The 20,336-nt window shown below is 52.3% G+C and overlaps 2 protein-coding genes across 5 annotated transcripts in view, besides 3 other annotated features; both read left to right on the top strand.

Annotated features, from left to right (window-relative positions):
- The window catches only part of AGO2 (argonaute RISC catalytic component 2), a 122,158-nt gene that overhangs the window by 10,414 nt on the left and 91,408 nt on the right, over window positions 1–20,336 (top strand). The gene's annotated exons all lie outside the window — the stretch shown is intronic.
- Window positions 862–1,362: an enhancer, noted in NCBI's record as "H3K4me1 hESC enhancer chr8:141640637-141641137 (GRCh37/hg19 assembly coordinates)". NCBI's record gives its function as "activates a minimal SCP1, AML or CMV promoter by ChIP-STARR-seq in primed H9 embryonic stem cells {active_cell/tissue: H9 hESC(primed)}" and the evidence as "EXISTENCE:reporter gene assay evidence [ECO:0000049][PMID:30033119]".
- On the top strand, window positions 3,310–19,651 carry LOC107986982 (MAGE-like protein 2). Its single transcript, XM_017014159.2, has 2 exons — window positions 3,310–8,608; window positions 8,639–19,651. Exons 1-2 carry the CDS (start codon window positions 8,476–8,478, stop codon window positions 9,649–9,651), a joined length of 1,146 nt encoding a protein of 381 aa, XP_016869648.1. The 5' UTR covers window positions 3,310–8,475; the 3' UTR covers window positions 9,652–19,651.
- Window positions 5,778–6,778: an enhancer, noted in NCBI's record as "H3K4me1 hESC enhancer chr8:141635221-141636221 (GRCh37/hg19 assembly coordinates)". NCBI's record gives its function as "activates a minimal SCP1, AML or CMV promoter by ChIP-STARR-seq in naive H9 embryonic stem cells {active_cell/tissue: H9 hESC(naive)}" and the evidence as "EXISTENCE:reporter gene assay evidence [ECO:0000049][PMID:30033119]".
- Window positions 6,779–7,778: an enhancer, noted in NCBI's record as "H3K4me1 hESC enhancer chr8:141634221-141635220 (GRCh37/hg19 assembly coordinates)". NCBI's record gives its function as "activates a minimal SCP1, AML or CMV promoter by ChIP-STARR-seq in naive H9 embryonic stem cells {active_cell/tissue: H9 hESC(naive)}" and the evidence as "EXISTENCE:reporter gene assay evidence [ECO:0000049][PMID:30033119]".

Here is a 20,336-nt window from a genome sequence, read left to right as displayed (position 1 = left end):
TTTAGCAGTCATCAGGGTTCTCCACATTTGCTTCAAATATGCCCCTTTTCTTTGTGGACGTTTTCCAAAGTGAATTGCAGACCTGTCATTTTACCTCGATATTTAAATATGCGTGTCTAAAGCAATGGAGACGTTTTGAACATACCCCAGTGCCGTTATGACAGTTAACAGTCTGTGATCAATTTCTCTCATATTCTCAGAAGTGTGTTTCCAGTTGGGTGCTTTGGATCCTGAATTTTAACCAAAGTTCACACACACATTTGGGTCTCTGCCTTCCGCCTCTAAAGCTAGCCCACCCTCTCTCTTCTCCCTGCATTTGACTTGTTATATTTACGTCTTCTTTTTTTTCTTTTTTTTTTTTTTGAGACGGAGTCTCGCTCTGTCACCCAGGCTGAAGTGCAGTGGTACCATCTTGGCTCACTGCAACCTCCTCCTCCTCCCGGGTTCAAGCGATTCTCCTGCCTCAGCCTCCTGAGGAGCTGGGACTAAGCCACCATGTCCGGCTAATTTTCGTATTTTTGGTAGAGATGGGGTTTCACCATGTTGGCCAAGCTGGTCTCAAACTCCCAACCTCAGGTGATCTACCTGCCTCGGCCTCCCAAAGTGCTGGGATTATAGGCGTGAGCCACCACGCCCGGCCTACGTCTTTTAAAATCTCTTTTCTTCAGAGCATTCGTGCCTCCCCTCCCCCTCCGTTTTTTCTTTAATGGTTTTAGAAAGAGCCCCATTGCTCAAAATTTTTGTTTTTTGGGCTCCGTTTTGTTGAGGGGGGCTGTTTGGAGACCCAGTTGCTCATGGTTTTAATTCTGACACATTTAAGTGGTGTTTTGTTTTGTTTGTTTCTGAGGGTTGGGGTTGTTCTCTGTTGCCCAAGCTGGAGTGCAGTTACACAGTCATGGCTCACTGCGGCCTCAAACTCCTGGGCACAAGCCGCCCTCCCACCTCAGCCTCCCTAGTAGCTGAGACTGCAGACATGTGCCACCATGCCCAGCGAAGGTGTTTTACTTTTTTAGAGATGGAGTCCTGACATGTTGCCCAGGCTGTTACGCAGAGTGTTGGGGCAGGTCCCTTTGCATCTTGAGTTTTCAGTTGCAGCAGAATCCTTTTTGTGGTCCTCTTTCAGCAGAAGCGACACTGTATGACCTATGGCAAATACGGAAGATAACTGGAGGCTCTTGTGCAGTTTATCTCTTACAGTTATTTCAAATAAGAGGGATTCTTTTCTCCCCAGTGTTGGGTTGGGAATGGCTCCCTCTTTCACATATCTCTGCCCTTATCGTTTGTGGCCAGCTCTGTGCTGCCTGTGGTTGCTCTCTCCTCCTCACTGGGGATCTGCTGGCCCACGCCACACATTGAGAGCCCCAAGCCTGCTGCTGCGGTCAGGGGCCTGCACTTGTTCGCTGTAGCCACTATTCTAATTTTTTCCTCCAAAAGTTTAGGAACTTGAAACCACTCTTTGTTCTTGGTCCTTTACACGTTGTGACCAAATCGCCAGGCCCTCCCAGTTTCTGTCTCCATAGAGCTGCACCCAGGGTGAGGAGACACTTAGCATTTGTGCTGGGAGCTTCCTCCAGGGCAGTGGGCACCTGTAAGCTTTCCCTGGTACGAAAGGCAGACACAAGAACTGTCCGTGCAAAGCAGGGTGGACGGGCGGCCTCTCAGATTCAATGCGTTTTTAAAATCTGGGGCTTGTGTGTAGCTTAAAGATGAACAGGCTGGAACATTTTAAACTTGGTTCACCCCTGATGGCACTGCACTTCCTGAAATCCTCAGAAAATCTGATGGGCGTGAGTGTGGTGTCATTGAGGTTGCCAGTAGTTCTTTCCAAAGGGTGCTGACGCGTGTCCCCGTTGTGAGCTGGGAGAAGCAGGGTGTGGGAGGTGGGCCAGGCCTCCCTGGGTCTGCCAGGAACCGGGCTGTGTGGGTTGGATCAGGAACTGGAAGCCCCACCTCTCTCCTCTCCTCTCCCCTCCGCTCCCCTCCCCTCGCCTCCGCTCCCCTCCCCTCCCCTCCTCTTCCCCCTGCTCCCCTCCCCTCCCCTCTCCTCTTTTCTTTTCTTTTTTTGACAGGGTCTCACTCTCATGGCCCAGGCTGGAGTGCAGTGGCACAGTCATGGCTCACTGCAGCCTCAACCTCCCCGGGCTCCGGAGCTCCACCTCAGCCCTTTTGGGCAGCCTCCCAGGTAGACTGCAGCTGTGGACCACCGTGCCTAGCTAAGTTTGTGGAGAGACGGGGTTTCCCTGTGTTGCCCGGGCTGTTCTGGAGCTCCTGGATTCAAGTGACCCACCTGCCGCAGCCTCCCAAAGTGCTGGGGTTACAAGTGTGAGCCACTGCGCCCGGCCCCCTCCTTTTTCATCTTCTCACTGTCATCGAGATGGACAGACAGGAGTCTGGTCAGAACTGCAGCCCCGTCCGCATCTCCTCGTGTGGTCTCAGTTTTCTCGCCTGTTAAGTGGGGACTTTGGCCTGGATGACTAGCATCCTCTCCAACCTTACTTCCCCCATACAGTGACTTTTCTGCCTTCCCACCTGGCCCCGGGCACGGGCGCCTGCGCTGAAGGGAAGCAGCACATTCCCCACGAATCCTTAGTCTTCATACAGTGACCCAGGACAGAAGAGAAGGTGCTGGAGGCCTGCAGTGACAGCCGGAGCCGAGGTCACACATTGGCTGGCAGAGCCTGGCCCCTACTGTTTCGTGCAGTGTTTCTCTTCCTGTTTGATCTGTCAAAAAAGTCCGTGGCCCCAGAGTCGCGCGTTTATTATTAGTTTTTAGAATTTTTAAAAATTTATTTATTTATTTATTTATTTTGAGACAGAGTCTCTCTCTGTTGCCCAGTCTGGAGGGCAGTGGCGCAATGTCGACCCACTGCAACCTCCGCCTCCCAGGTTCAAGTGATTCTTGTGCCTCAGCCTCCTGAGTAGCTGGGACTACTGGCATGTGCCACTATATACCCAAATTTTTTTTTTGTATTTTTAGTAGACATGGGATTTTGCCATGTTGCCCAGACTGGTCTCGAACTCCTGAGCTCAGGTGATCCACGGTGGCTCAGCCTCCCAAAGTGCTGGGATTACAGGTGTGAGCCACCGCGCCCGGCCTATTATTATTATTGTTGTTGTTGCTGCTATTATTATTTTGAGGTGGGGTCTCACTCTGTTGCCCAGGCTAGAGTGCAGTGGCACAGTCATGGCTCACTGCAGCCCTGACTTCACGGGTTCAAACCTCCCACCTCCACCTCCCAAGAAGCTGGGACTATTTTTTGTAGAGATGGAGGTCTCCCTATGTTGCCCAGGCTGGTCTCACTCCTGGCCTCAAGTAATCCTCCTGCCTTGGCCTCCCAAGGTGCTGGGATTACAGGTGTGAGCCACCACACCCAGCACAGAGTTGAGCATTTCTCAGAAGCATCTGTGCTGCTTAACACTGCAGAATATTATGCAGATGCACAGGGAATAAAAAATATCTGCAGGTACACACACGCACACAGGTATGTAACACACACACACGCACACACACACGTGCCTGCAGCTCCACGTGCCTGGCTCCCTGGTGGGGCTGCCGTCCTCCTCATTCCTGGGGCCTCACACACGTGGGTGTTCGTTCCCTGGGGAAGCAAAAGTGGCTCAGGAGGCAGTGCATCTGGCAGCCCCAGTAAGGCAGTGGGTCAGGGCAGGCTGGGCCGAGCTCTGGGGTGGGGCCTGCCCACAGCTGGTGCTCAGTCAGTGGGCGCTGCGGCCGGGGGAGCAGGAATCACAGAATTACCTGAAAGCTTCTTCCGGTCTCTGCCCTGAAGACCTAGGAAGCTGATTTCACAGATGTCCCAGGTGATTGCCCATTAGGCCAGGTTTGGGACCCCCTGGTTTTGGGATAAGGGTGGGGAGAGGAGGTAGAAGCCCTCGAGCAGCTCCAGGGAGCATCCTCCTGGGAGTGGAATTGAGGGAGGGAGGAGCCCATGCCAGAAACCTGGAGGACAGCCCCGAGACAGTGGGGGCAGCAGCCCTGGGGGGTGCATCTGTGGGAGATCGCGTGTTGGGTGTCCCACAGTGGACTTTGTGGTGGTCTCCTTTACTGATGAAGCGTGGAGCTCTGACAAGTGACCGCCATGCTTGTGTGGGGTGCCGCCTGTGGTTCCATGTTGCTGTGAACACAGCTAGTCCACTACCAGACGGAAGGGGACTTCTGAAGGTGATTACTGGGGCTTCAGTAAATGCAATGCAAATCGGCCAATACCTGTTTTTAAGGACCTATATCCCAAAACAAACACAACTGCAGCAAGGCTTAGAAACAGCCAGACTCAGGAGCCCAGGCGGCCCCTAACCCGAATCTCTTACTGTAATTGACATCCATCTTGGGAAAATCCTACTGGGGCAGTAACTCAGGGCAATGTTGTTGTTTTCCACGTCATTTCTGAGTGTTTCAGCTCTGTTTTGTCCTTAGAGAGTTAGTGTACTCTGCTGCCAGAAGGCAGCCACTAGAAACTTTCATCTTGCAGCTGCACATAAAAAGATCAAAAACTGAAGTTCATAGGTCATAACCATTTGAGATGTTTGTCAGGTTTGCCTTATTGAGTAAAATAATAGAACTGTTGTGAGTTTGTCTTTCCAACATCATGTTGACTTGTTGGAGGAGTTTGCATCAGCACTCTTGTTCCGACGGTTGGAGGACTCGAGGGTGCTTTGCCCTGTTTCTTTTTGGCTTTGATAGTGAAAGGATCCTCCCGTGGGACCCACATTCCCAGGCTTCTCTGGTGTCTTGCTCTAAGTGAGCTTATGCAGGGCGGGAAGGTGGCGGGCACTGGATATAAATGGGGAGTTCTTTAGCCCCTGCTTTGGGGTGGGTGTCTGAGTCCCAGTTATGATTGACGGGATGATCAGTGTCCTGTGTGTGTGGCGCCTGGTGTGCTCAGAGACCTGGACACCATTCTGGTCTGAGCACAGCCCCATGCTCGTGTGCAGGCTGAGCAGTGGGAATGAGAAGCCCAGGGAGGCCCTGAGGGATGGCGGCCTCCCTGCCCCTCAGGCTGGCAAGCCGGGGCATCATTTGTTTTATGTTTTTTTGCAGGGACAAAGGAATTAATAGAGTAACACGGGTAAAAAATGCAGAGAAAGCAAAGGAAGATGCCAAGAGTGATGAGAGGGGTGACTTGGAACAAATCTGTGTGTGGAGGTGTCTGAGCTCTTGGGAGTGGCTGGGGGCTCATGTGACGTTGCAGGATGCCCGCCTCAGCATAACAGCACCCTGAGCGCAGGCTCAGGTCAGGCCCACCTCACTGGAATCCTGGCCACGTGATGGGTGTCTCACCTCACCTCTCTGAACCTCAGTCTCCTCTTCGTACAGAGTGAAAACCTCGTCCTCATGGTGGTGGTGCTTTGATCAGAGGAGATGATGCGGGCGACCTGCAGTTGTGTCCCACATGCAGGGCCCTCAGAAGGTCCCTCTGATGGTGACTGTTACTCCCGCCGTGATGGGGGCGTTACTCTGCCTGGCAGTAGGGCGGGCGTTCCTCCTCCCTTTGATCCCCTTTGTTGACCTCTGGGTCTTTACTTTGCAAGCAGGGAGGGATAAGAAAACATTTAAAAAGGCTTATCTCTGATAAATAACACTCATCTGTCTGGTGTCCACAGCGGCCTTGAGAGGCTCGGGCCAGGGACACAGAAGATGGCCTGTGTCGCTCAGAACTCACCTCTATACAGACCCAGGTGCGCCGGACCCCGACAGCTCTTGGGGACCTTCCTTGCCCGCTCGTAGACAGGAGCGACGCCGAAAGGGCGCCAGCTGTGCCCCCCCGGGCCATGAACCCAGCTGAAGCCGGTGGAACTAGAAGGCCACGTGCTGCCCATGGCTTTGCCGTGGTGGCTCGAGTGGCCCTATTGGTGACTGGGGCAGGGGGGCCTTGCTGGGCGCACCTTGGTCCCTGTGCGTGCTGCTGCTTCGTGAAGTATGCAGTTTGCCAGATGCTAAAGCGCGTGCCTCACTGTAAGAACGGTCACATTAGGTGTGGATGGATTCTCAGTGCTGAGACGCTCACTCATCACACCTTAACTTCGCTGTTGGCCCTGGAAGCTTTTTGGGGGGTGGTCCCTGTTCTGTGCAGCTCCCCTGAGGAGTGCAGAGCATTCTCCTGGAATGTTCTGAAACATTTGAGGGTGACCCTGTGGACATAGCCTGGCCATTCCAGGACTGGCAGGTGAACACAGGATCTGGTCGGGGATGCGCATGGTAGAGTCGGCGGGAACTCTGGTTGGACTCCCTCTGGGAAGCTTTGCAAAGGATATGCCATTGGAAGGAGCCAGGCCGGGGGTGAGGCCCGTTCATGGTGTGTGATTGAGGAGAGGGCTTGGGGGCAGCATCAAAACAGGACTCACCAGTGAGCCAGGTGTAAAGCACCCCCTGGATACGAGGGATGAAAGACCATGGTTGAGCAGGGTCAGGGGCTGGGGCTGGGGAGGGGCGAGTTGCCTGGTGGTCAGCACAGGCCCACCAAGAAAGAGTAGGACTGGACAGGGGTCAGTGGCTCACGCCTGAAATCCCAGCACTTCGGGAGGCCAAGGCGGGCGGATCACCTGAGGTCAGGAGTTTGAGGCCAGCCTGGCTAACGTGGTGAAAACCCGTCTCTACTAAAAATACAAAAATTAGCCGGGCATGGTGGCAGGCGCCTGTAATTCCAGCTACCCAGGAGGTGGAGGTTGGAGCGAGCTGAGATCGCGCCACTGCACTCCAGCAAAGGAGGGATGCAGCCAGGGCCCAGGTGCAGGCTGAGGGCAGGGAGATCAATACCAGGGACGTGCAGCAGGGACTGAGCAGAGGAGGGACGCCAGCTGACTTAGTCTTTAAAAGGATCCCTGTGGCCACTGTGTTAGAAACAGACCAAGAGGGTGGGGTGGAAGCAGGGAGGCCTTCCTGGAGGAGGCTGCTGGGATGGTCCCAGTGGAGGGCATGCTCTGGAGCAAGGGGGCCGTTGGAAGGAGCGGGATGGGGGTGTGTGCCATGCACTATCCCCCGCCTCCAGCATGGTCTGTCTGTGGTTGATGCTGCTTCTCTTTGAGCCTCGTCCCGTTTCCCGTTTCTCATTGCAGATCCCAGTGGCATCGTCTTGTTGACAGATGTTTCAGAAGATGTCACCACATGACATGGGTGTGTGTCTGTCTTCCTCTGTGCTCCTTATATGCCCCGCATAGTGTCCGGCATCCGAAGTCCAACCCTTCCTCCCAGCCGGGGAGCACACGGTGCCAGAGTTGCCCGTTGCTCACTGGTGTGGATGTTCGCAGTTGGTGGCCTCGGAATGCGAGGACCAGAGCCTCCTCCTGAGCCCCCAGCCTTGCTGTTAGTTGGGGACGCTGGCTGCTCAGTGCTGCCGTCTCCCGCAGCTGCATCTCCTGGGTGTAGCCCGGCGTGCCCTCTGTTCCGAGTGTCTTTCTTGCAGATTGGTGGCCGGAGCTGGAGGGGTGTTTGGATGCAGGCTCTCCAAGTTTGGGTTTGTTCTGCCACTGTCCATCCCTGTCCAGGGTGAGGTGGTCACTGCCACGCACGCCGGCTCTGTGCCCTGAGGTGCGTGCAGTGTGGACGTTCTGGCTCCACTTCTACAAATGGGGACTCGCCCTGCTTGGCTGTTTGGGGTGTGCTTGAAGGCAGGGGGCAAGGCTGGCCCAGGTGGGCTGCCTCCCAGAGTGAGGCAGGGCTCCAGAGGGGGCAGAGCCGGGTGACCCAGTCGAGACCTGCTGGGTGGGGGCTCTTCGGAGCTGGCCTGAGGACAGTGGGTGCCACCCATGCAAGCCAGTGTGAGTGTCTGTTATGGACAAGCTTGGTTCCAGAAACCCAGGAGGGGACGGTCCATCGCGCTCGCCCTGCACCTTCCTGGCTCCCCGTGCATCTCGCCCTATGGTGGGCTCTCCTGTCCTGTCTCCATCACCCACTGTGACCTCCTTGCCCCGGGATCATCTTGGTTCCCTTGTGTCTATGCAGTGTTCGCCATGTGTCTTCTTTAACTCACTAAAGGCTTACTGCCTTTAGTCATTTCTTTGTTTAAGAGTTAAATCTGCATGTTGAAACTCGCTTACCCTTTTGAAAAGTTCTGCAGCCATCCCGCCCTGGGGCCTCTTTTTCTTGTGGTTTGTGGCTCGGTGGCAAGTGGCCTCCCAGGGCTGTGTTTGGGATGGGAGATGACGTCTGTGGCCTGGCAGGGGTGATGATGGTGGCCATTATGGAGGGAGGGGCCATGGGGCTGCATCCATAGCACTGATGGAGACAGGTAACAGGTGTGCACGGGAGGGAAGCATGGCCACATCAGGGGGCACGCAGCAAGACGGCACCCTCCGCTCCCACCAGCCCTGCCCTTCTGGATGTTGCTAGGTCCAGGTGTGACCCGTGTCCAGCCGGGGGCCTGACTGCTGACTGGCTGCTGGAGGCTGACTGCCTCCCTGTGTGCCCTCAGGAGACAGGCCAAGGCTGGAGTGCCGGGGGACGTGTGGCAGTGACATCGGATGAACCATTGTAAGATGAACAATTCAGTGGCGTGTAGCGCATTCACAGTGTGGTGCAGCCATCATCGCTGTCTACTTCCAAACCGCTTCATTCCCCCAAGAGGAGACCCCATGTGCATTATTCCCCCAAGAGGAGACCCTATGTGCATTATTCCCCCAAGAGGAGACCCCATGTGCATTATTCCCCCAAGAGGAGACCCCATGTGGATTATTACCCCAAGAGGAGACCCCATGTGCATTATTCCCCCAAGAGGAGACCCCATGTGGATTATTCCCCCAAGAGGAGACCCCATGTGCATTATTCCCCCAAGAGGAGACCCCATGTGCATTATTCCCCCAAGAGGAGACCCCATGTGCATTATTCCCCCAAGAGGAGACCCCATGTGCATTATTCCCCCAAGAGGAGACCCCATGTGCATTATTCCCCCAAGAGGAGACCCCATGTGCATTATTCCCCCAAGAGGAGACCCCATGTGCATTATTCCCCCAAGAGGAGACCCCATGTGCATTATTCCCCCAAGAGGAGACCCCATGTGCATTATTCCCCCAAGAGGAGACCCCATGTGCATTATTCCCCCAAGAGGAGACCCCATGTGCATTATTCCCCCAAGAGGAGACCCCATGTGCATTATTCCCCCAAGAGGAGACCCCATGTGCATTATTCCCCCAAGAGGAGACCCCATGTGCATTATTCCCCCAAGAGGAGACCCCATGTGCATTATTCCCCCAAGAGGAGACCCCATGTGCATTATTCCCCCAAGAGGAGACCCCATGTGGATTATTCCCCCAAGAGGAGACCCCATGTGGATTATTCCCCCGAGAGGAGACCCCATGTGCATTATTCCCCCGAGAGGAGACCCCATGTGCATTATTCCCCCGAGAGGAGACCCCATGTGCATTATTCCCCCGAGAGGAGACCCCATGTGCATTATTCCCCCGAGAGGAGACCCCATGTGCATTATTCCCCCGAGAGGAGACCCCATGTGCATTATTCCCCCGAGAGGAGACCCCATGTGCATTATTCCCCCGAGAGGAGACCCCATGTGCATTATTCCCCCGAGAGGAGACCCCATGTGCATTATTCCCCCGAGAGGAGACCCCATGTGCATTATTCCCCCAAGAGGAGACCCCATGTGCATTATTCCCCCAAGAGGAGACCCCATGTGGATTAAGTAGTCACCCCCATTCGCTCCCACCCAGCCCCTGGGAACTACCCATCTGCGTTCCGTCTCACTGGATTGACCTGTTCCGAGTATGTTCTATAGATGAAGCCACACAGCCAGTGAACTCTTGTGTCTCCTTCTTTCACTCGGCATGTCTTCACGGTTCACACGGCAGCATCAGTGTTTCATTTCTTTTTGTCATCAAGTATCCGAGTGTATGGATATGTCCCAGTTCATCTACGATTTGGCTTGTTTCCACCTTTTGACTATTGTAAATAGTGCTGCTGTGAGCATTTGTGTACAAGTTTTCCTGTGGACGTGTGTGTTCATTTCTCATGGGCTAGGTGAGATGGTCACTCTGTGTTTAACTTTTTGAGGGCCCACTTAGCTGTTGTACAGTGGCTGCACCGTTTCCATTCCCGCCAGCAGTTCACGAAGGGTTCAGTTTCTCCGCGTCCTCATCAACACTTGTTACTATCCTCTGAACCTTTTAGAAAGTGAACCATACTAAACCATTTCTAGCAGATTAGTTGCCAGGATGGAAAAAAATGTTAGATTTAAGATGTTTTGCCCAGATCACCTAATAGATATTAGATGTGTTCATTTCTTCATGCCAGAGTGTACAGCATACTTGGAACCTGGATGACTAAATGAACGTAATAAAGGTGAACATCATTGAACAAGGCCGAAAAGGGAGTCCGGTACCCAGACTCCATCCTGGATGCCTCATATGTCAAAGAAGCTTGTTCTTTGAGTCAGTGTTGAGTGACAGCTATGTGCTGGGGTCATGCCCGTGACTGGGGACAATGGTGAATGGACACAGTCTTGGCTTCTGCCTTGCGAGCTCACGGTCTGAGTCATGAACACAGATGTGAGTCTGTGAGCAGTCACTCACAAATCCATGGAAAATGGCAGGTGTCTCCAGTGCAAGCAAGTGCTTGGTCCAGTAGGAGGGGCAGGAAAGTGGCCTGGAGCATGGGGTGTCGGGGACTGCTGCGGCCAGAGGCTGCCAGGGAACGGCCATCATCATCCAGCCCAAGGAGGGGCAAGTGTGGGAGACAGGCAGGCCCACCGGCTGCAGGGTGGAAAACGATTGGCAGGTGGCTTGGAGATCATCAGAAATGGCACCTGTGAGGGCAACTGTGGGTGGAGAGATGGAGCAAATGTGGCGTGAGGGAGAGGCTGCTGCCCATAGAACTTCTGCTCCTTTGGCATGGATGGGCACAATTCAGGAGGCAGGGAGATCGCTTGAACCCAGGGGTCCAGGCTGCAGTGAGCTGTGATCATGCCATTGCACTCCAGCCTGGGTGATGGAGCGGGACCCTGTCTCTTTTTTAAAAAGAAAAGGAGACCAGATTTACGTTGAATTTGCAAACTTTGAGAAAAATTTTTTTTTTCTTTTTCTTGGGGACAGGGTCTTACTCTGACAACCAAGCTGGCTTGCAGTGGCACAATCTCAGCTCAGTGCAGCCTCTGCCTCCCTTGCTCAAACGATCCTCCTGCCTCAGCCTCCCACAGATGCATGCCACCATGCCTGGCTAATTTTTTTGTATTTTTTGTAGAGACAGGGTCTCTCCATGTTAGCCTGGGCTGGTCTCAAACTCCTGAGCTCAAAGTGATTTGCCTGCCTCAGCCTCCTAAAGTGCTGGGATTACAGGCATGAGCCACCGTGCCCGGCCGAGAAGAAGTTTTAAAGGGCTTTTTATTGTGGAAAAATTCAAATGTACATAAAAGTGGAGGAGAAGATATAAGGAACACTCATGTGGCCATCACTCATCCTGTCCTCCTCTCCTGCTCCGCACCCTCCATAGTTTGAGTCATATCATTTCATTCATAAATATTCTCTTACCATTTTACTTGACAATGATTTTAGGCTTACAGAAAAGTGGCCAGAGTAGTGCAGGGCTCCTATAGTTGGCTTCCCCTGTTGCCATCATCTCGTCTGATCGTAGGGCAGGTTAGCATTGCTACAGGCCTCTTACCCGGCCTACAGCTCTTAGGCACATCTGTCCATTTGACTAATGGCCATTTTCTGGATAGTCCATGCTCACTTCTGGAGCCCCCTCCCACCCAGGCTCCCACATGGCCGGTGCTGTTGCCTGAAGGCCCCTCTTCCTCCTGACGTGGGACCCCTTCAGGTAGCCCCGCATCTTTTCAGCGTGCCCCTTCACATTCTGACTGTTCCTCTCCTGGAACCTGCAAGATGCTCTGGGATCCTTGTATTTTTCCTGCACCAGCCCGTTTCATCCCTGAGCTTCTGTTATTTTATTGGAGGATGGTGCTAGAAACACAGGTCTGGATGCAGGCAGGAGACACACGCGTCCACACTAGCATGCGTGTGTACACACATCTACATGTGCTTATCCCCCGCGTTCATGTTAAAAACCATGGGATCATACCGGTGTTTCAGATTCACATCCACCCCAGCAGGGTTTCTCGCCTCCCCCATTGCTTATAACCTTAGCAGGTGTTGAGAACCCTGGCGCTCACTGTCCACAGTGAGTTTGCTTATTCGTTGAAACCTAGCGTGCCTGTAGAGTGTGGAGAGTTGCCGGCCCGCACCCCTGCGAGACACAGACTTTCTGACCGCAGCCCTCATGTGTGTGGCTCTTCTTGTCCTTGGCCTTACAGTGCAGTCGGATCGCTGCTTTCCAGAGTTGCCTGGGGGTAGGTCCCTCCTCTTCTGTGCTCTGCGGCGCAGTGAGCGGCCTTTGCCTCAGGCCTCCCGCGGCTTCCTTAAGCCTCTGGCCTGCCCGGTCCCTGGCGCCAGGTCTGTTTTCCCTGCTCCCTTCTCTCTGATCCTGCTTTGGTCTGAGCCGTGCCTCTGGGCCCCAGCATTGCTGGGCCGCATTGTCGTTTTATTTCTCTTGTGTCGTTGCGTCTAGTGTAAGACATTCAGTGGATCATTGTGGATGGTCATTAGTGGTCCAGAGTGGAAAGTGAGGTCGTTGTTGGTGGTGTACTTACAGTGCCTGTTAGGGAGCTGTTCCTGGTGTTGCCCGTGAATATTAGACTTGCTCCCGAGCCTGCGCCACAGCCCATCCCTAGCGACTTGGCGACAGTGGCTGCCAGGTGCGGGTGGCTGTGTCTTGTATACACTGTGTGGGCAGCCCAGGGCCAGGGGCCTCCTCCTTCCATGGCAGCCTCTGTCTGCATCACAGAGATAAGGCCGCGGCTGCCACCAGGATAAGGAGCCAGCAGCTGCTCTCGGAGGAGCCGCCCTGACCCCTCCCCATCATGCCGCCGTGGGGTTTCCATGCAGAATTTTCCTTGGGCAGAGTTGCTTTTTGATTCTAGTTTTTAAAAAAACTGTTCTTTCCATCATGATAAAAAGAAAGACATGCTCATTTCAAATAGTTTAGGAGATGTGGAAGTAAAAAGAAAAAAAAAACCACCTGTAATATTACTCACAAGAAATATGTTTTCTTTTCTTTTCTTTTTTTTTTGAGACAAGGTCTCACTCACCCAGGCTGGAGTGCAGTAATACAATCACGGCTCACTGCAGCCTTGGCCTCAGGAGACCCTCCCACCTCAGCCTCCCAGGTAGCTGGGACTGCAGGTGCACCCCGCCACCCTGGCTGATTTTTTGTGTTTTTTGTAGAGACGGGTTTTCACCATGTTGCCCAGGCTCACACATTTCTATACATGGGTGGACAGTTGGGATCAGCCACATTTATGATTTTCTGTCTTTCCTTTTCACTTAATGTCTTCAGCAGTTCTGAGTGCTGTTAATTTGGGGGAAGCATATTTGTATATTTACAATAGTTCTGGGTTTTTTAAGGTCTTGCTTTGTCACCCAGGCTGGAGTGCAGTGGCACAGTCACAGCTAACTGTAGCCTCAACTTCCTGAATTCAAGTGTTTCTCCTGCCTTGGCCTCCCAAAGTGCTGAGATTATACGTGTGAGCCATTACCCTTGGCCAACTTTTTTTTTTTTTTTTCCTGAGACGGAGTCTTGCTCTGTTGCCTAGGCTAGAGTGCAGTGGCACGATCTCGGCTCACTGCAACCTCTGCCACCTGGGTTCAAGCGATTCTCCTGCCTTAGCCTCCCAAGTAGCTGGGATTACAGGCGCCCACCACTGTGCCAGGCTAATTTTTTATTTTTAGTAGAGACGGGGTTTCACCGTGTTGGCAGGGTTTCACCGTGTTGGCCAGGCTGGTCTCGAACTCCTGACCTCGTGATCTGCCCGTCTAGGCCTCCCAAAGTGCTGGGATTACAGGCGTGAGCCACCATGCCTGGCCCAACTTTTTTTTTTTGTAGACGGTCTCACTCTGTTGCCCAGGCTGGAGTGCAGTGGTGCAATCACGGCTCACAGCAGCCTCAACCTCCCAGGCTCGAGCAATCCTGCCACCTCTTGAGTAGCTGGGACTACAGGTGTGTGCCACCACACCTGGCTTTTTTATTTTTTAGTAGAGACAGGGTCTCACTATGTTGTCCAGGCTGCTCTCAAACGCCTGGGCTCAAGCAGTCCTGCCACCTCAGCTTCCTAAAGTGCTGGGATCACAGGCCTGAGCCACCATGCCCAGCATCCAACAATTTTTAAAGTAAAAGGATGATGGCAGCACACAGATCAGAGGGTGGGCTCCTGTGGGACAGGGTCACGCCCACGGGTGGCTGTGCTCAGTTCTTGATTATCCTCCACCTACCAGCTGCGTGACCGACATTGGTGTCATCAAAACTCTTCATTTGGGCATAAGAGTGGTGTTTCTCGGCCAGGCGCAGTGGCTTACGTCTGTAATCCCAGCACTTTGGGAGGCTGAGGCAGGTGGATCACTTGAGGTCAGGAGTTCAAGACCAGCCTGGCCAACATGGTGAAACCCCGTCTCTACTAAAAATACAAAAAAATAGCTGGGCATGGTGGCAGTTGCCTGTAGTCCCAGCTATTCAGGAGGCTGAGGCAGGAGGGTCACTTAAACCCTGGAGGTGGAGGTTGAAGTGAGCTGAGATCTGCACCCCAGCCTGGGCGACAGAGCGAGACTCCATCTCGAAAAAAAAAAAGAGTGGTGCTTCTCTCACAGGGTCACTGAGATTGAACAGGTCAATGCGCCCGAGAGCCTGGTGTACAGCAGGTGCTCGCGTTAGCTGCTAGTTGTGTTGTTGTTGTTTCTCTTACATATATGCTTAGAACACCCTCTTTTTCAGAGTGCTTCCTTACAGGGTCTGACAAGGTGTGTGGGGATGAGGGGGGTCCACTCTCTCACTGCCAGAGGCTGGACCTGCTCCTGCTGCATCTCCGATCCAGCATCGTTGCTTGCAGAGAGCAGAGCTGCAGGAAGCATTTGGTGGAGGGTGCGCGGGGGTGGAGAGCGGGGCCAGGGATGGACAGGCTGCCTGGTGAAAACACGCAGGGCTCCGCTGGACGCAGTCAGTGCTGATGTGTGTCTCTTTCCTGAGGGCCACTTACAGATGTTCCTTGTAAATCCACCTGTGCTCAGCCCCTGCTGGGTGGAGGCTGTACCCCAAGGCCGAGTGAGGTGGGGGCAGTGAGCTCTCTCCCCCTGAGGCTCTCCTGTTCTGTGAGCCTGGTATTGGGCAGTTCTAGGGGCTCTGGCACCGAGGCCCTGGACTCCCACCCAGGCCCTGCCCACTGCTGCTGCCCCTGTGTCAGCTCCTCCTCTGTAAAATGGGATAATAATAGTGATTGCCATCATTAATTCTTATAAATAATACCCATGTGCTAATATGAAATTATGTATCATAACCATCAGAATATGACCATAATGCATTGTATTTTATTATAATTTAGTTATGAGCAATTGTTGATTATAATTCATTGCAATTATTATCAATAAGTGATTGTGTTAATTACATAATAGTTACTAGAGTTAATAATTGTTGTCGTTGTCATAATTAGTAACGGGATTACACTGTGGGAGTGAAGTGAATTAATGCATGGCAAATCTTCCTTGTGCATAGGAAGCCGTTGGTGCCTGCGGCTCGCTGTTGCGATAATGGCTGTGTAAGTGGGTGGCGGGGCTGTCATCGGTCCTTTGAGGAGTGAGCCTCTCCTGTAGGAATCTCAAAATGATGCTTCAGTAAGTTTGTGCTGGTGCTGCCTGGATAAAGCAGGGTACAGATGGGATGGCGGTTAGGGTTCCCTGAGGAGTCTCGTCTGGCACAGACTATGGGGTGTGGGAGCCTCACGGGCTTGGTTACAAGGGTTCTTGTACAAGAATGTGGAAGACTCAGTGCAAACCTTGTTCTGAGGAAGGCACATGCTCTGAGGGTGAGCCTGTTGGCTTAGGGCTCGCTGATGACAGGGTACGCATTGATTCAGATGAATGATATCAGAAAGCATGTTTCTTACAAAATGCCCTCAGAATGGGAACAGATATCTTTTGTTCTTTTAAGTGACTTTGCAGGTATTTGGTCCCATTGTTTGCTTGGATATTGTCAAAGTTTGTTTTCTAAACAAAGCCCCAGAGAGACAGAGCAAACACATGAGTGCTCCAACTCAATAGTGTGTTTAATTCAGAACAGACCGTGGGCAGGATCTGTGGCGAAGCCGCGTGGAGAGCTGCCACAGGCATGAGCAAGCAAGAGGGTGGTCCGGTTCCGAAAAGCAAAACCACCTTGAGCGTGGTAAAAGTTTCATTTAACTGTGGCTGCCCCCTAAACATCGGCTGTAGTGGACAGAAGCCACCATTTCCTACCTGATGTCAGCCACTTCTATTCTGTCCCTGAAGTGTCAGCTCCTGGCCAGGCGGTGGGGCAGGCCCCACTTCATGCTGGTTCTGTGGCTTTGAACTCACGAGCCTGCCACCCTTCAGAGGGCTCTGAGCGGGCTGTGTGCCGGGCGAGAACACTGCCTGGGCCGGGGCCACTGTGGCATGAGAAGGGCCGCCTGGGGGCCCGGGGCCTAGAGCAGGTGGGCAAGGAGTGGGTGCTGACTATGTCTGCTCTGGGCCTTCGGCGCTGAGTCTTACAGGCCTGGCCAGGGGGCTGTCTCCATTATTTCACTCCATTTTTGTTTATTTTATTTTGGTTTGCTTTGTTTATAATATTTTATTTTGAGACAGGATCTTACTCTGTTGCCTGGGCTGGAGTGGAGTGGCACGATCTCGGCTCACTGCAGCCTTGACTTCCTGGGCACAAGGGATCCTCCCATCTCAGCCTCCCAAAGTGCCGGGATTACAGACATGAGTCACTGCACCAGCCTGCTTTTGTTTATTTCAAAAGTGGAACGTTTTAAATGCTGTGTTTGGCAAATCAGGACTCATAAAACAGTTAGTGGAATTGTGCTGTGGATAATGAATATGTGAATGGTGGTGTTGGCAGGGAGTGGTCCCAGGCTTGTATGTGATGAAAAGATGTTACCAAGAGTCACACAGATGAAGTCTGAGGCTCCAGGAGTGACTTGAGCGGTTAGAGTGAGTTCTCATGACTTCAGTAACAGCAGCAGCAGCAGTTACCGAGGGCACGGCGAATGCTGAGTGCCAGGTGCTTGCAAAGGGCTTTAGGCGGTCATGACTCTGTGGGTCCTGCCATCCTCCCGTTTTGGAAGTGAGGAGACTGGGGCACAGAGGGGTTCAGGTCACGCAGCAGTAAGTACTGGATCCTGGATTCAGACCTGGTGGTGCCTCCAGGTTCTAGAACCTTGACTCGTGTGGCTCCTGGTCTGGTTGTTGGACCCCAGGCCCGGAAGGACGCCTTAGTAGAGTGTGGGCTGCATTGTCACTGCAACAGGTTGCTGAAGACATGAGGAGAGTAGCTTGCATTCCTTTGCCATAATTATGCAAACGTGCAGGACTTTTAGGGGACCTCTCTGAAATAGAGCAAACTTCATTAGGGAATCAAAGGAAAAGATTGGCTCAGAATTTAGTGGGTTTGGATTTCCCAGTGTTTTCATTAAAGAATTGGTTTAATGTGTTTTTCTTAGGACACTGTTTTGAATAAATGAATATTGACTTGAGTCCTGCCTTTGCTTTTGTTTTGTTTTGAGACGGAGTCTCACTCTGTCTCCTAGGCTGGAGTGCAGTGGCACGATCTCGGCTCACTGCAACCTCTACCTCCCGGTTTCAAGCAGTTCTCCTGCCTCTGCCTCCCGAGTAGCTGGGACTACTACAAGCACACGCCACGCCCAGTTAATTTTGTATTTTTAGTAGAGACAGGGTTTCACCATGTTAGCCAGGATGGTCTTGAACTCCTGACCTGAGAGATGATCCGCCCGCCTTGGCCTCCCAAAGTGCTGGAATTACAGGCGTGAGCCACCGTGTCTGGCCTTTTTTTTTTTTTTTTTTTTTTTTTGAGACAGGGTCTTGCTCTGTTGCCCAGGCTGGAGTGCGTTGGGGATGATCATGGTTCACTGCAGTTTCAACCTCCTGCACTCAAGCGATCTCACTTCAGCCTCCTGAGTAGCTGGGATCACAGGCATGCACCACTACATCCGGCTACTTTAAAAATTTTTGTTGTGGAGACGAGGTCTCTCTGTGTTGCCCAGGCTGGTCTCAAGCCCCAGGGGTCAAGTGACCCTCCTGCCTCGGCTTCCCTAAGTGCTGGGATTATAGGTGTGAGCTACCATGCCTGGCCAGCTGTTCTTTATAGTGTGATAGAAACCAGACCCGAATTTCTGCAGTGGTCTTGTGGATAGAGTTCCATTTGTCGCCGATTCTGCCAGTATTACCGTTATTCCTGAAGAAACCTCAGGCAGGGCTGCTGTGTTTTTAAGAAAATACTCTAGATGACAATCCACTCCTGGAAAGGGACATTCAGACGGCAGCTCTTCAGCTGTTTTTGGTTGGGACCTCTTTACATTCTTAAGTTATTGAGAACCCCGAAGACCATTTGTTTATGTGGGTTATATCTGTTGTATTACAAATTAAAACAGGAGTTTAAAAAACATTTGATACAACAACATGTCATTATATTAAATATGTATTCATATAAATGTTTTTATGAAAGATAATTTCTTCTAAAACAAAATATAATGAGAAGAGTGGCGTAGTTTTACATTTTTCCTAAATCTCCTTAAGGTCTGCCTTAATAGAAAGCATCAGCTGGCTTCTGCATTCTGTCGACAGGGATATGTTGGGGTTTTTTTGTTTTTTGTTGCTGTTGTTTTTTGAGACGGAGTCTTGCTCTGTCGCCCAGGCTGGAGTGCAGTGGCGCTATCTCGGCTCACTGCAAGCTCCGCCTCCCGGGTTCACGCCATTCTCCTGCCTCAGCCTCCCGAGTAGCTGGGACTACGGGCGTCTGCCACCACACCTGGCTAATTATTTTGTATTTTTAGTGGAGACGGGGTTTCACCGTGTTAGCCAGGATGGTGTCGATCTCCTGACCTCGTGATCTGCCCACCTCGGCCTCCCAAAGTGCTGGGATTAAAGACGCGAGCCACCATGCCTGGCCAGGGATATGTTGTTTTGGTTGAAGTATAAAAAAAAAAATCTGGCCTCATGCAGCTATGTAGCTGGAAGGGAGGGTTGTTGTTGTAGCCTTTTCAGATAATTATGGGTATTTGTTGCTACTACACCAAAACTCGAAAAACAGTAGTTTCATTTTGTTTTTTTTGAGACCGAGTTTTTTGGGTCTTGTTGCCCAGGCTGGAGTGCAGTGGCGCAGTCTCGGCTCACTGCAACCTCCGCCTCCTGGGTTCAAGCGATTCTCCTGCCTCAACCTCCGAGTAGCTGGGATTACAGCCACCACACCCGGCTAATTTTATATTTATAGCAGAGATGGGGTTTCACCATGTTGGCCAAGCTGGTCTCAAACTCCTCGTGTGATCCACCTACCTCAGCCTCCCAAAGTGCTGAGATTACAGGCGTGAGCCACCACACCCAGCCAGAAAAAGCAATAGTTTCTTGAAAGTCAGGTGCAGTGTAGAATCCGCAGCTGTAGAACTGCAGCCCGAATGGATCCTGTCTCCCATGTGTTTTGTCCATCATGCACCAGGCATTTGGAACACACTAGCTCACAGAGTTACACGGGCCTTCCAGCAGTGACACATTTAATCACACAGATCATCAAAACATCCCATTCACGAACACTGCTGAACTAACCAGAAGTCTTTTTTTTTTTTTTTTTTTTTTTTTTTTTTTTTTTTTTTGAGACAGAGTCTCGCTCTTGGCCAGGCCGGAGTGCAGTGGCACAATCTCAGCTCACTGCAACCTCCGCCTCTCAGGTTCAAGCGATTCTCCTGCCTCAGCCTCCCGAGTAGCTGGGACGACAGGCGCCCGCCACTGCTCCCGGCTAATTTTTTGTATTTTTAGTAGAGACGGGGTTTCACCGTGTTAGCCAGGATGGTCTCGATCTCCTGACCTCGTGATCGCCCGCCTCGGCCTCCCAAAGTGCTGGGATTACAGGCGTGAGCCACCGCGCCCGGTCGAACTCACCAGAAGTCTTTTAAGTATTTGGAAGCTTGAAGCTCATGGTGGTGAATATGTTTTCCACGATTATAATTTTTATGTTAAAGCTTGAATTTTACGATTGCAACAGACACCATCAGCCATTTTCTTTGAAGTGCAGGTCACTAGGTCTGCTTGGAGAAGACATCTGCCCGGCACCCTACTCGAGGTCACAGCTCGAAAGGCCACACTCAAGTGCCTCTCCTTGGGGTAGCCTCACACTTAGGGGTATGTGGGTATGTGCACCCCCCACTTCCTCATACAGAACATTCAAAAGGCTTAAGAGACCAGGCACGGCCAGGCACAGTGGCTCACGCCTGTAATCCCAGCACTTTGGGAGGCCGAGGTGGGCGGATCAC

Source organism: Homo sapiens, chromosome 8 (genome assembly GCF_000001405.40).
Source record: "Homo sapiens chromosome 8, GRCh38.p14 Primary Assembly".
NCBI lineage: Eukaryota > Metazoa > Chordata > Mammalia > Primates > Hominidae > Homo > Homo sapiens.
This window is presented reverse-complemented; position numbering and strand designations above follow the sequence as displayed.

Bases quoted from the DNA above. Each gene is read 5' to 3' on its own strand.
- LOC107986982 (XM_017014159.2), top strand. From the start codon at position 8,476: ATGAACCATTGTAAGATGAACAATTCAGTGGCGTGTAGCGCATTCACA. The intron at 8,609-8,638 runs GAGACCCTATGT...TTCCCCCAAGAG, and splicing joins GTGCATTATTCCCCCAAGAG to GAGACCCCATGTGCATTATT.